Below are 16,078 nucleotides of genomic sequence, written 5' to 3'. Positions count from 1 at the left end.
TACCCATTTTGCAGTAAACCTACAATTAATATTATTTCATGTGGAATCTGTCCTATAATCTTATGCTTGTTGGTAGAAATGAAAGGAGCAGGAGGAAAAAAACAACATATATCACACAGTAATCTTCCCAGTACTATAGTATTCCCTTGCACAAGATGAAAATTTGGATATATTGTTTTGGAATCTGGCTCCTGACATTTTTTCAAATGTTTGGAGTCATTCCTAACTTGGGGTCAGGGAAAGGGAGGCTACTTTGATACCCAGACAAGGAAAGAGAGATGACTTCTTTCCATTAAGCTAGAAGGCAAAGTGTACGTCCTAAAATTCCTTATACTACCCTGGAATAATCTCCCTGAAATAGGTGAATTAAACACGTACTGAGTCCCTGAAAGATTTGTGGAAAAGTTCCTGGAATTCCTGGCCAGGAAGGTGATGAAACCAAGACTCAGAATGTTGAGTGGAGGTGGCATGACCCAATCTAGAGACTGCCACATGGTGGCAACAAATTATTGCAATAATATACAGTTTAAAGTGCTTTATAATATACAGAGCAGGATCCATGCATAATCCCATAAATTTGAAAAATAAGATTGAGGACATGTCTTTTACTTTAACCCAAGCCCAAGCCTAATGTGTGTTAACTACACCTTTTTAGTACATTTTAAAATATTTGGATTATCAGATAACTATTCATACTTTCAGAAGGAACTAGTGTATTTGTTGTACTTTGTTATCCTTTGAAACTAGATGCCCAGTATAGTCAATGCTCTTTCCATTTACTAAGGTATCCTTAAATATGAAAATAAGAATATTTACATGTTTTCACCAAAACATAGCTATTAGTAGATCTCAAAAATAATTCTGTCAATCAACAGGTTTCCTTTTTGTTTTTCTCCAAGACATCACAGAAGCAGTTTGACTTTTCTTCCCCATTGAATTGAATAAATTGAGTTAGAATAAATCTGTATAAATTTGGGTGGTTTTCAATCACCACCTTATTTTGTCAATAAATAATTTAGTTTTTTTTTTTAAACAAACCAGATCATATTCATTGGGCTCAGATACAAAGGAAACTGCTTTGTGGATAAAATGGAATATCTAATTTAAATGCATTTGTGGATATAATTAAAATATTATACTATGCCTTTACATAGCTGCAGTTTTTGCATCAATATTTTTAACCTGAAGGTTGTAAGTAATTATGTTTAATTGGTTTAGCTTCTATTAAAATAATTAGATTACAGTGATGCAATTTCAAATGTGTCTGTGTATATTGGAATTAATTTTTAGCAATTAGCTTCCTCACAGATTCTATCAGCATTGTAATTTGAATTTTGCTTCCAGAAAGTTACTGATACTACAGGTTTGGGTCTCTTTTGTTTGAATTGTTGAAGAACAAACATTCTGTACTTGGCACACAGCTGAAAAACTCTGACCTGGACTATACTTGAATCTACATTATAAATATCAATATTAAAGTATAATCATCATTCTGTTCTCCAAAGTTGATATAATGATATCATTAATTGTTTGTTTTCATACTGGCAAAAAGTAAAAAATAAATAACTCCTGCTTTTGTGCCATGACTATGTTTGCACAGTCTTTTGTCATGGCACCTGCAACACGTTATTTTTCTTATTATACCCTTCTTGGAGACACGTAATACATGCACAGACAGAGAATCACACGCACACGCACACATGCAACTATACCAGGTTTAATAAAGAAAAAAATACTAGATTGCCTCTGTTTCCATTTTTCAGCAGATCATATTTGCCCTGTAAAATTACATGGTAAAATAAATGCCAAGATTCCCAAGTCAAAAACTCTTAATAGAATGAAATATATCTTTGCATAATACCCTATTTAATTATTTTATCCCTATATTTGTAGTCCCTTTGTTAACTATATCTACTTTACTATTCAACCTTATTTTTCAATACTTTCTAAAATGTACTCTCTACTACAATTTGACTACTCTCATCATTTCCTTTATAACCTCTTTGTTTGTCGTGTATTATTTTTTAGTCCACTTCCTGTGCAACATGTGGGTCAATAATAGAAAAAATAAAATAAAATGGCTCTCATATTACTCAAACTCAAAATAGGAGTTTTAGTTTCATCTCTGATTTTTATGTATTTTGTAAAATTCACTGTGTTCTCTAGTTGTCTGTTTGTCCTCCATAAACTCAGAATGATAACACCATCCACCTCACACTAAAGGAGCAATGGATTCAGAGGTGCTGAGTAAACTATTTGACTTCAAAAATACCCTCTTTCTACTGTGCAATGCTGCCTCATTTATAAGCAATTATACTTTTATATTGGAAGCCTACATTGTTATTGCTGTTGTGGTAAGACTAAATTCAATTCGGCAAATATTTATTGGGGTTCTACTCTTTGCCCGGTAGTATTCAAAGTGTTAGAGATGTAATAGTGAGCAAAAAGAGAAGTACGTATCTCTCAGAGATTATGTATTAGAGGTGGGGAGACAGCATTTAATGTGCAATGAAATCAAGACAAAGATAATTTCATATAGTGATAACTGGTATAGGGTAATGAAATAGGTGATGTGATTGAGAAGATCTGGAAGGAAGCAGGGCTGGGGAAACTGCTTTTATATATTGATGATTGTGTCAGAAAATTGCAATAAATCCATGAATAATTGTTGTTGTTTTTAGAACTAAATTTAAAACTTGTATTTACTCTTATTAAAATCTATTATAGGCAAAGCATAAAATTGTTTTGGCTTATTGAGGCTTATTATATATGGTTAGGAATATGCACTTGAAATAAAAACTTCTATAAAATCAGGTAGATATTGTTTTAATGCCAAATTCTCATCTATTCCTATTCAAACTATCAGGTTTTAAATTTATAAATTGGAGGAAGCACTGAAACAACTGGCAAAACACCTAGCCAAGAACAGATAATCTGACAAAAGTTTGTTTTCTTCTTTTTATGTATTTAATTTTCATGGGTCCCTAAAGTCTTTTTATTCCTTTAGTTTCCATGAATGGCTAATATTCTATCATTTTTAGTATTGTCCCTATCTGATACATAAGTCCATTCCAAAACGTTTAAGTTATTTTGATTCCAAAATCACTCCCACTCATGGACATTTAATTTCTGTTTAAATACATCTACTGATGAGAAGACACATCTCCTATAATTTCTTAGTGGTCCATTGAGTTCTGTTTGATATTCAGATTAGGAGTAAAATGTATGGCAATTATTACTAATTGAAGATAGTTTATTATTATTACCATTATATATTATTTTTGATACGGTAAACCATATCAAAAAGTGTTTTATTCCCTCCAAATCTCATGTTGAAATGTGACCTCCAATCTTGAAAGTGGGCCAAGTGGGAGGTGTTTTGGTCACGGTAGGGGATCCCTCAGGAATGGCCTGGTATCTTCCCTCATGGTAAAGAGTGAGTTCTGGCTCTGTTAGTTCACATGAGATCTGGTTGTTTAAAAAAGTGGCACATCCCCCCGTACTTGCTCTCTCGCCATGTGATACACTGGCTCCCATTTTGCCTTCCACTATGATTGTAAACTTCCTGAAGTCTTTACCAGGAACACATGTGGGTTCCATTCTTGTATAGCTTACAGAACTGAGGGCCAATAAACCTCTTTTCTTTATAAATTACCCAATGTTAGTATTCCTCTATAGCAACAAAACAGACTATTAAAATAGTATCTAATATTATATTGTAAATATCAAACTCTTATCTAGTGTTATTATTAGAATATTAATTGAATGTGGTATTTTATGCTTGTATTCATGTTTACCAATTGATTGTATGACACTTTCTACTATTTAAAGAGACAAGTGTTTCTGATGGGGTTAATGGTAGATGATAAGAGAAAAGCTAAGGAGAAAGAAATTCATTTTTTTGTGAAAATCATCTATTGTTTCAGTAACTGCTGTATTTGAAAACCCTGACAGCCAGTTCCTTCATTCAAGAACATTTATTCCCATATGTTTTGTGGTCCCACATCATAAAAATTACCTATTGGAAGAGTTATTGCTTCAGGCAATAATGAGACCATAAATCTGTTAGCCTCCCTTAACGTCCCTGGAAACACACAAGAGCTGTTGGGGCTATTTCTTCCCTGAAAAGTGTAAAATCATCATTTTTGTTGATATTCATTTAAATCAGACAAGTTTCTCCACTTGGGGCAGAATTTCTTTGATAGAAACTAAATCATGAGGCCTCCAGCCCACAGCACTTGGAGACACTTTGATTGAACAAAGCAATTATGTTCCTGAAAATAAGATTGCTTGACAAAGAACATCCAAAGTGCATATTATATGGAGTTTGCATTTGGAGATCACTTTCACTCTAGGCAAGCAAGAATGCCCTGACAGTTTTCTCTTTAAATTGTAAGCTCTAGCAGAGATGTGGAAGAGATGTAATGGTAGTGTGTGTGTCTTCTTACTGCTTCTCAATTTGTATAATAAAAAACAGATACTTTCATCTTATTAAAATAGGAAAACTCAATAGCGGAATAATAGGGAAAGAAGTTGATTTATAAAGCTGCATCACATTGGAAAGAACATTTGATTTGGAAGCAGAAAAATTGGACCCAAATGAGCGTTCTAACCTTCACTAGCTATGGGAGAAGGCCTGCCTGAGTGTGTTTTCTCATCTACAAAGAAAAAAAAGTAATAGCCAGGTTGTATCCAGTCAAAGGGTTGCCAGGTCATTGTTCATTAATTCTTGTATATTAAGACCCTGAAATCTTTAGGATCAAAGACTAAGAACGCCTTTTCTTTTAGATAGGCCTAGATACTCAGCCAACCTCTATTGCCATTTTGAATCTGCTCTTGATTTTTTTTTTTTTATCATTCTTTACCCAGTGTTTCTTCACCCAGTTCTTCAGGGAATTTTACAAAATATGCTCAAAACCTCTCTCTTTAGTTTTGTTTTAGATAGATTCAAAAGTTCTTTTAATTTTAGATATATTAATTTTCTTATTAGTCACTGCAGGAATAAATATGGAAAATAGAAATATAAAAGAGTTAATAAAGTCAATGAAGTTAACATTTATCGATCATCTATCATATTTATTCCTTAAAAATAAAAAATGTTATGTGGTGTTAGTAAAACAAAGGCTTACAGATATTAGGTGACTTTTCTAAGATAAAAATATTCAGTAGAAGGATGGAATTTGAATTCCAGCTGTTCTAAAGGCAAAGACACTGCTTATTATTATACTATTTTGCCTAATGAGAACAAGAAGTAGGGAAACTTTTGCAATTACAATATTCGCTCTCCATAACTTCTTTTCTTAATCCAAATTACTTTGTGCTCTTTCATTCCTCAGGGCAGAGTTTACCAAACAGCTAGTCTCTTCTCTAGATAGGGATAGACGACCATTCCTCTATGATTCCTACTCCCAAACCTATGGGTTATCAGAACGGTGCAAAGTAAAAAAGTGGGAATAAGACAGACCTGAGTTGAACTTCTGGTTCTGGCACTTCCAAATTGGGGATTTCGGGTCACTTTGCTGAATCAATCAGAAATATGATTTCCTTATCTATCAGATGCATATAATACTTAAGCTTGAAAGAGTTTCACCAATATTAAGTCAGATAATATACATAAATTGCCTGCACACTTACATAAAAATCCATATTAGTTATGGTGGGAACATGCCCAAATGGGAACACGCCCAAATATTATCTTCACATTAATAAAGAAAGGTTCCTGGATTGTGGATTCCTTTCTACCAGAACTGAATCACTTAACCCTGAAAAGTTTTTGGGTGGCTACATGCAGGAATGCTGCTTACCTCATGGCAGATTGAGCAAGCATATATTCAGATCCCTTATCAATGAGTATGTATTTGATATTTTGTATTATTTCAGTCTTGCGCTTAAGTTGTGAGCTCGAATTCCAAAACTTTAAAACTTTCTTTTTTCTTCCTTGAAATGCACATAGATTTTATGTGGCAACAATTCCTGGTAAACTTTCATTTTTCCTCAGGACTTTGCATGATTAAAGTCTCCAGAATGAAGTAAAACTTTGATTCAACAAATCATGAAGCCCCTTGAAGTTGAGAAGACTGGAGCAACACATGTTTTGGTTCCCTACAACATTCCAGACACTGAGTATATCAATTAGGGTACGGGCAGGTTTTAGAAACCACACTAGTTATTTTAAGATATAAAATTTAATGTAGGCAACTGTATAAACAAGTACTGGAAAACTGAAAAGGCAGAAAAGGAATCCTGCCTATGGAAATTAAGGCTCTGCATGCCCCAGTTATCTTTAAAAAGAAAATAGTATTAGCTGTTTTGTGTCCATGGGGGTGATGCCAGGTCATTGCCTATTGGCTCCCTGTTTACTAAGTTTCTGAACCTTGTATTTAGGTTCAGGGGAGACCACACCATGAATAGCCCCCTTTTTTTTGAGCAGGCTGTAAAATCTCAGCCTATATTCATTACTTTTTTGGATCACCTTCCACTTTTTTTTAAATTTTCTTAAGTGTCTTTTTCATAAAGATAACATAGAGAGAACTATTGAAGAAAGCATCTACCAACTCTAAGGGTAGAGACAAAATGGGAAAATGTCAGAGTTACTGGCACCTAACAACCTGTGATACAGATTTCTGAAGAAGGGGTCCTTTCCAGCTGCTAGCCTTTAGGAACTTGAAGAGGGGCCAGCAGAACTCTAAGAACAGACTTTTCCTAGCTGATTCTGATACTTCAAATATTTGAGGTCACTGACAGCTAGAACTTGCATCTCTGAGATAGCGAAATGAAGCTGATCCTTGGAGCATGGGAAGAAAATTGGAAGTGGAATACATTGCTGCAGCCAGGGTGAAGAAATGTTGTTGGTGACACTAACAGAAGCAGCAAACAAAACCAGCCAGTGCAAGTTCCTTCTCCCTTCTCAATACTTAGATTTTTCACCCTATCATCTGTCTCTGCCGAGTGTATCTGCAGGCAAATGGCAGGCCTATCTGCAGAAAAACAGCAGGGAAAGAAGTGTGGTTGGTACCGTTCCTGCTTTTTTATGGTTAGGCAGAATACAGAAGGGTGAGCCTTGAGTGGGGCTTCAGTGGCTTACTAACCAGCACACTATCTTGGGTGAGTGGGGTATAGAATGAACTGGAGAAGCAGGAGATATAGTACTTGCCCTCAAGAGAATGTATTTCTAAAAGCTCCTGTACTACTTTTGAGAGATTAAGTCAAGAGGAAGAGTTGAGTTATGCATGAAAGATTTCATGAAGGATGAACAACTTCAAGTGGCAAAACTTATACGATGAGGACAGAAACAAGAGTGGAGGTGATATGTGTTCCAGATAATATACGTGGTTTATTTTTACTGGATTTACCCAACAAATTTATCTAACAATAACTAACCAATTTTGTTTCCAGTGTACACAGAGTCACAGAAAATTGTCCTAAGGGACCAAAAAAAAAAAAAAAAAAGACTGGATTTACCATTCTCTGGGAGGCACAGGGTGTGTAGCATAAGGAATTTAGGGGGTTTTCATTTCAAATTTTGCTTTGTCTTTCTAGGTCACTGAGTAGCAAAGAATAAAAGCTCATAATTTTCTAGTCTCTCTTTGGTTAGGAAGTAAATGATAATCACATTGAGTTAGATAAAAATACAAATAAAACTTTACTTGAAAGAATGATGTAAGGAAAATCCTTATGTTCAAGAGATAAATTTAATTTATTTAACTATAGTACTAAATTATAATTCCTCATCCCAACTACCTCATGATTTAGACAGTTGAGTGGTCCAAAAGGAGCTTCACGTGGTATGAAGACCACTTAGGCATTGATTTATCAGGGTTAGTTTCATGCGCGTCTGTGTGAAGAGACCACCAAACAGGCTTTGTGTGAGCAACACGGCTGTTTATTTCACCTGGGTGCAGGCGGGCTGAGTCTGAATAGAGAGTCAGCGAAGGGAGATAAAGGTGGGGGATTTGGGTTTTATAGGATTTGGGTAGGTAAAGGAAAATTATAGTCAAAAGGGGTTGTTCTCTGGCGGGCAGGGGTGGGGGTCACAAGGTGCTCAGTGGGGGAGCTTTTTGAGCCAGGATGAGCCAGGAAAAGGAATTTTACAAGGTAATGTCATCAGTTAAGGCAAGGACTGGCCATTTTCACTTCTTTTGTGGTGGAATGTCATCAGTTAAGGCAGGAACAGGCCATTTTCACTTCTTTTGTGATTCTTCAGGTACTTCAGGCCATCTGGGCATATACCTGCAGGTCACAGGCGATGCGATGGTTTAGCTTCGGCTCAGAGGCCTGACATTCCTGCCTTCTTATATTAATAAGAAAAATAACATAAAATAGTATTGAAGTGTTGGGGCAGTGAAAAAAAATTTTTGGGGGGGTGGTATGGAGAGATAATGTGTGATGTTTCTCAGGGTTGCTTCGAGCGGGATTGGGGCGGCATGGGAACGTAGAGTGGGAGAGATTAAGCTGAAGGAAGATTTTGTGGTAAGGGGTGACATTGTGGGGTTGTTAGAAGAAACATTTGTCATGTAGAATTGTTGGTGATGGCCTGGATACGGTTTTGTTCGAGTGTCTGCGAGCAACCTTTCACTGTTATTTTCAGGGCTGGGTATAAGTAAACAAGAAAAGGGCCTGGGAGGAGAGTCTGACGAGTAAGGGGAAGGTAGCCAAGGATGGAGTGAAATACAGGGTAAGTGTCTTCCTAAGCAATAATTACTGCTAATGTTTTTAAGTTTGCCAGTATTGATAGAGGGCTTGTCTGTAATACGGAGCTGGAAGGCTCCAATTGTTTCAGTGATGTGTGTAGGTGGGCTTTGGAGATGAGGAGTAAATGGACATTGAGAAGGTGAAAGGTTACCTAGGGGAATTCCAGTGGGTCTTTGCTGAGAGAAATATAAAGGAGCAGCCACAGGAATAGTAGTTTGTGTTGTGAAAGGTCCAAATATGGGGGGAGTAGAGTTGATATAAGGAGAAAGGTTTTTTAGGTAAGCGCGGAGGAGGGCAGCAGCTTGCTGATGTGAAATGTTTGGAGAGGTCTTCCTGGACCTGTCTAGAAAGTAAATGAGTTCTTCAGGAGGGTAAAGGTGAGGGCTGTTAAAGGAAGTTGGGAGGTGTAGGGAGACAGGAGATGTTGCCTAGTCTGCATGTAAGGCGGGGACAACTGTGTAGGAGCTGGAAGAAAGGGAAATGCAAAGCCAGTGGTTGTTCACTAAGGAAGGATTAGAAGTGGCTAGGAGAGAATGAGTAAGGTTGATAGTGTGGTGGAGATAGCTGGGGAGAGGTAAAGGGTGGCATAAGAATGGGAATGAGAATAAGAGTGAGTATAAAAGTAAAGAAGAGAACTTCATCAGGGTGAAACTATTGAAGGGTCCCCTGCCAGCAAAGATCATCTATCCACTCTAAGAGTGAGTTAAGAGTTGCCAGTCCTGGGCGGGGGCAAATCCCTGAGCTTGATGTGTAGGGAAGGGAGGGGCCTGAATAATCCCTGAGGAGTAGTAGAATAGCAGATGGAACACTGAGAAGTGATTTCCTTGAGGATGGATTTCCACGATGGAAAGGAAATGAGAGGTTCTAAGAGGTGGGCTGGTGGCTTGTACTATAGCATAGCCTGCCTTTGCTGGTGAGTGGCGATTAGGCCTGGTGGAACTGCCATCAGTAAACTAAATGTGATCAAGGTGAGCAACAGGGAAGAAAGAAATGTGGGGAAATGGGGTGAATGTCAGGTGGATCAGAGAGATACACTCATGAGGGTCAGGTGTGGTATCTGGAATAATGTGGGAGGCCAGATTGAAGTCCGGGCCAGGAATAGTAATTGTGGGAGACTCAACAAAGAGTGAGTACACCTGAAAGAGCTGGGGAGCAGAAAGTATATGCGTCAGGTAGGAAGAAAATAGATTTTGGAAATTATGAGAACTGCAGAGAGTGAGTTGAGCATAGTTTGTGATTTTGAGGGCCTCTAAAACTATTAAGGCAGTGGCAGCCGCTGCACGCAGACATGAGGGCTAGGCTAAAACAGTAAGGTCAACTTGTTTGGACAGAAAGGCTACGGGGCGCAGTCCTGGCTCTTGTGTAAGAATTCTGACCACACTAACCATGCCTACGAAGGAAAGGAGTTGTTTTGTAGAAGGGATTGGGGTTTGGGAGATTAGTTGGACATGATCAGCAGGGAGAGCACATGTGTTTTCAAGAGAATTAGGCTGAGATAGGTAACAGATGAGGAAGAAATTTGGGCTTGACTGAAGTAATGGGAGCTGTCTGTGAAGCCTTGCAGCACTACAGCCCAGGTAATTTGCTGAGCCTAATGGGTGTCAGGGTCAGTCTAAGTGAAAGCGAAGAGAGGCTGGGATGAAGGGTGCAAAGGAATAGTAAAGAAAGCATGTTTGAGATCCAGAACAGAATAATGGGTTGTGGAGGGAGGTATTGAAGATAGGAGAGTATATGGGTTTGGCACCACGGGGCAGATAGGCAAAACAATTTGGTTGATAAGGCTCACATCCTGAACTAACCTGTAAGGCTTGTCTGGTTTTAAGACAGGTAAAATGGGGGAATTGTAAGGAGAGTTTATAGGCTTTAAAAGACCATGCTATACCAGGCAAGTGATAATAGGCTTTAATCTTTTTAAAGCGTGCTTCAGGAAGGGATATTGGCGTTGATCAGGGTAAGGGTGATTAGGTTTTAATGAGATGGTAAGGGGTGCATGATTGGTTGCCAAGGAGGGAGTAGAGGTGTCCTACACTTGTGGGCTAAGGTGGGGAGATAGAAGGGGAGGATGTGAAGGAGGCTTTGAACTGGGGTAAAAGGTGGCAATGAGGTGTGGCTGTAGCCCAGGAATAGTCAGGGAAGCAGATAATTTAGTTAAAGTGTCTCAGCCTAATAAGGGAACTGGGCAGATGGGGATAACTAAAAAGGAATGCTTAATAGAGTATTGTCTAAGTTGGCACCAGAATTGGGGAGTTTTAAGGGGTTTAGAAGCCTGGCCGTCAATACCCACAACAGTTATGGAGGCAAGGGAAACAGGCCCTTGAAAAGAAGGTAATGTGGGGTGGCTAGCCTCCGTATTGATTAAGAAGGGTACGGTCTTACCTACCACTGTGAGAGTTACCTGAAGATCAGCATCTGTGGTCGTCTAGGGGGCTTCTGAGGCAATCAGGCAGCGTCAGTCTTCAGCTGCTAAGCCGAGAAGATCTGGGAAGGAGTCAGTCAGAGAGCATTGGGCCAGCGTTCCAGGGGCTCTGGGAGTGGCTGCCAGGTGAGTTGAACAGTCCGATTTTCAGTGTGGTCCCGCACAGATGGGACATGGCTTAGGAGGAATCCCAGGCTGCGGGCATTCCCTGGCCCAGTGGCCAGATTTTTGGCACTTGTAACAAGCTCCTGGGGGAGGTGGGCCTGGAGGAATGCCTGGCAGCTGCGGTTCAGGCGTTTGGAAGTTCTTGTGTGTTGGAGATATGGCTGGGGTTTGTTTCACAGTGGAGGCAAGGAATTGCAACTCAGAAATACATTGCTACTTGGCTGCCTCTACTTTATTATTGTACACCTTGAAGGCAAGGTTAATTGAGTCCTGTTGTGGGGTTTGAAGGCTGGAATTTAATTTTTGGAGTTTTATTTAATGTCGGGAGTGGATTGGGTAATAAAGTGTATATTGAGAATAAGACGACCTTTTGACCTTTTAGGGTCTAGGGCTGTAAAGTGTCTCAGGGTTGCTGCCAAACGAGCCATGAACTGAGCTGGGTTTTTATATTTGATGAAAGAGCCTAAACGTTAACTGATTTGGGAGAGGTCGGATAAAGAAAAAGGAGCATTAGCCTTGACTATGCCTTTAGCTCCAGCCACTTTTTAAGAGGAAATTGCTGGGCAGGTGGGGGAGGGCTAGTCGCAGAACGAAACTGTAAGCTGGAAGGGGTGTGAAGAGGGGAGGTGATAAAAGGATTATAGAGTAGAGGAGCGGAGGCTGAGGAAGAATTGGGACCTAGCTTAGCCTGGCAAGGAGCAGCCTGGGGAGTAGGGGAGAGGTCAGATGGGTCTGTAGAAAAGGTCGGAAAGAGGAAAGACTGAGCGACACTTGGGGTTGGGACTGAGGGGACAGGCGGGAGGGAAAGAAGGAAGATTTGGGACGAGTTGCATTGGAAACAGAGAATAAGGAGGGACTGATGTGTAAAAGAATGCCTGGACATCAAGCACCTCAGACCGTTTGCCTATTTTACAACAAGAATTATTTAGATCTTGTGGGATGCAGAAATTGAAAGTGCCGTTTTCTGGCCATTTAGAGCCATTGTCAAGTTTGTATTGGGGCCAAGCGGTGTTGCAGAAGAAAATAAGATGCTTAGATTTTAGGTTAGGGGAGAGTTGAAGAGGTTTTAAGTTCTTAAGAACACAGGCTAAGGGAGAAGAAGGAGGAATGGAGGGTGGAAGTTTGCCCATATTGAAGGAGGCAAGTTTAAAGAGAAGGGTAGAGACATGGAGAAGGGTGTGGGGAGCAGCCCTGGGCTGCAACGTAGGTGAGCAGCCAAAGCAGGCGTCCCCACAATTGACTTGCCACCAAGGGAATGTGGGTGAATGATCAAGGCAGGCATCCCTGTGGAGATCAGACACCAATGGAACGTGGGTGAATAATCAGAGAGGTGTCCCCGCAATGATTAAACACCAAGGGAAGGCTGCCTTTCTGGGTCCGTGACTGGCGCCAGAGTTTTGGGTCCACGGATAAAATGTGTCTCCTTTGTCTCTACCAGAAAATGAAAGGAATTGAAATTAAGAGAAGGGAGAGATTGAAGTGTGGCACCAAGATTGAAAGGAGAAAGAGGTTTAGGGATAGTGAGGGAAGTTGGAGAAGAGAGAAAAACAGGCCACTTACCAGATTTGAAATTGGTGAGATGTTCCTTGGGCTGGTCAGTCTGAGGACCTGAGGTCGTAGGTGGATCTTTCTCACGGAGCAAAGAGCAGGAGGACAGGGTATTGATTTCCCAAGGGAGGTCCCCCAATCCGAGTCATGGCATCAAATTTTACGTGCGTCTGTGTGAAGAGACCACCAAACAGGCTTTGTGTGAGCAACAAGGCTGTTTATTTCACCTGGGTGCAGGCGGGCTGAGTCTGAAAAGAGAATCAGTGAAGGGAGATGGGGTGGGGTCGTTTTATAAGATTTAGGTAGGTAAAGGAAAATTACAGTCAAAGGGGGGTTGTTCTCTGGTGGGCAGGAGTGGGGGTCACAAGGTGCTCAGTGGGGGAGCTTTTTTAGCCAGGATGAGCCAGGAAAAGGAATTTTACAAGGTAATGTCATCAGTTAAGGCAAGGACTGGCCATTTTCACTTCTTTTGTGGTGGAATGTCATCAGTTAAGGCAGGAACAGGCCATTTTCACTTCTTTTGTGATTCTTCAGTTACTTCAGGCCACCTGGGAGTATACGTGCAGGTCACAGGGGATGCCATGGCTTAGCTTCAGCTCAGAGGCCTGACAGAGCCCTCAGTATAGAGTCTTAGGAGACTAAGAGGAAGAAGAATATTTCCTTCTGTGCATCCTTTGTTTACATCATGAATCTAGTGAGCAGTGTTAACTTTGTTAGTATAATTAATGTACTTAAATATCAATTGTGTGAATTGAGCCCTTAAATATTTAGATATTGAACACAAAATTAGTCAAATCTCAAAGCACTTCAATGAAGTCATAGTCTAATGTATCAAATTATTTTATATACTCCAAATGCCTTAAACCACAAAAAATATAATAGTTAATGCAAAAATTTTTAGAGTGCCTGCTTCAAATTATCAATACTGTGGGTTGTTTGTTTCATTATTTTCTCTATACTAATATGATTTTATATATCCCTGAGGTTACAGTTTTATTCATTTATGTCCACTAATTTTATCAATCCCCAGATCAAACAGAATGTAATCTCAAACTAGCTGATATTGCAGATTCTATTTCATCGACCTATTCATTCTTTGTTGTGTCAAGGGATCTGTTTACATCTTCTAAGTAGACTGAAACCTGAGTCAGTGTTTATTGGTCTTGGATTCTTCTTAAATAAAAGTTTACTTACTAGATAAATGGTACTTTCCAAGTTTATGCCTTGTTTCAGGATCTGGGGCTGACTCATCTTTGCTTCCATATCAATAAAATATTGGCTAGAGAGTGGTCCACCTCAGTTAACAATTTAATTGACTATTATTATTTTATAATTATTAGGGATATTCAGAAGTTTTGTACTTGAGATTAGTGACTGAATTTATGTAGACAGCTTTCTTCTGTGGTTATACAGGTAATCTATAATTTTATTGCATGTTGTTGATGCTATATGACTTACTCACTGTTTCTTGAAATCACCCTTTTTTGCTGAAACAAATAGAAAAATAAGTATATCATAATTTAAGAATATTGTATGTATTTAAGTGATCTAAGTATCCACCTACTTACTAAATTAATTACTTATTATGGTTTAATGTATTTGCTCTGCTTTTGTATTGAATTTTCATATTGTAAAGTTTATTTGAAATTTTTCATTTTTCATATAATCATAAACTCATGTTTTTTATAGGTTCAACTCAATTTTATTAATTATAATTAAAATTCATTTATTGATGCATACTTTATTACAACTTATCTGTTGGGAACCACATTTAACTAAATTCTGTCTTTTAAGATACTGCTCAGGAAAGTATAAAATCATTTTTGATTTCTGGCAACAAGAAGATATTCTGAGTTCATCTTGCCTTTTTTTTTCTATTCCAAAGCATGGGATCATCTCCAAAAAGATTTAATTCCATTGAATGCAAAATAAATTCAAATACTAATTTCAGGATGCTGCAAGCACATACCAGATTGTTCTACATGAAAGCTTTTATGGGTGAAATTTCCACGATGCCAGAAATTAGCAAGACACCTAGGAAGACAGATCATTAAGGTCATGAGTTCATATGAATTTTCCAGTTTAACCACAAGTTAGTATTATTTTAAAAAATATCCTGTTATGAATATACAGCTCCTCATCAATGTGCTTGGTGAAAATCTAACATGTTGTCTCTGTTATCTTCTAGACTCAGAATGCTGCATTTGCCAGCACATTGTGCACAGAGCCATCTCACTGTGAATGATTCCCAGTCACTATGTTCATAATTCTAGTATTAAAATAAAATAGAGAGGTTGCAGGAATGGGAATATTCACATTTACATGATTAGGGCACTTTCCCATGCAGATAGATATAGGATGGAAGCCAAATCCAAACCAGAAGGCAGTTCAGTGAACGTGGAATCAAAATGAGAATAATTAGTTAGATTAGATAAATCTTTCAGGCTGGCATATATTCATAATTATAAACCCACAACAGAATTGGTCTTGCCAGTAGGACTAATATAGATAAGTTAATAGACATAAGACCACAATCTTTTGGACAGCTCTAGAATGGTCACTGTCAAAATTAGCATAGGTATTGAGAGTCAATAACCAAGAAAACCCCATATAAGCTTGAATCAATAATGAGAAATGTGCAACAAGAAGAAAAAAAAGTAAAACAGTACAACTGAAAATAGTAGACAGATAGGAGGGCAAGAAAAGTTGATTCAATATTTCTTCTGCAGTATGGCTCAGATATGAGAAATAATTTTAACTCAGCACTTAAACAAAAATTCTTGAATATGTTACCAGTATCAATTGTAGCATCAAGGGCAAAGTTTCTTGTTCTGGAATACACGTGGCTAAAGTCTTAACGATCTTGTAGCTTATTATGTTTGGCTGAATGTATGTCACAAAACTTTAACCATCCAGTGAGAATGAAAGCAGGCATGTTTGGGCAAGCATCATTTGCAGTGAGGTCCCATTGTTTATCTTGTTTTAAATTCATTTCAGATGCATCTGTTTATTACAACTATAAAATATAGTCATAGGAAATAACTAGGAAGTGTAAATGATTGCTAATCTGTGACCAAGAAAATACATAGGCCTGAGTTTAACATGATTTTTAGCTTGTTTATTCAATAATTAAATAATTATTCATTCATTTTGCATTGACCTACTTGAATAAATAAGGCATGAGGCATTTCTTTAATTAGTTCACAATATAAGAAGAATGGTGTATTCATTAATGAATATTAAATGATGGGTTGGATA

The 16,078-nt window shown here is 38.4% G+C and overlaps 1 long non-coding RNA gene across 1 annotated transcript in view, besides 1 other annotated feature; it reads left to right on the top strand.

Moving 5' to 3' along the window:
• Positions 1-16,078, top strand: part of MIR4300HG (MIR4300 host gene) — a 524,063-nt gene that overhangs the window by 365,075 nt on the left and 142,910 nt on the right. The gene's annotated exons all lie outside the window — the stretch shown is intronic.
• Positions 13,057-13,600: an enhancer, noted in NCBI's record as "OCT4-NANOG hESC enhancer chr11:81736281-81736824 (GRCh37/hg19 assembly coordinates)". NCBI's record gives its function as "activates a minimal SCP1, AML or CMV promoter by ChIP-STARR-seq in naive H9 embryonic stem cells {active_cell/tissue: H9 hESC(naive)}" and the evidence as "EXISTENCE:reporter gene assay evidence [ECO:0000049][PMID:30033119]".

Source organism: Homo sapiens, chromosome 11 (assembly GCF_000001405.40).
Source record: "Homo sapiens chromosome 11, GRCh38.p14 Primary Assembly".
Classification (NCBI taxonomy): domain Eukaryota; kingdom Metazoa; phylum Chordata; class Mammalia; order Primates; family Hominidae; genus Homo; species Homo sapiens.
The sequence above is the reverse complement of the archived record's forward strand: the minus strand, read 5'-3'. Positions and strand labels throughout refer to the sequence as shown.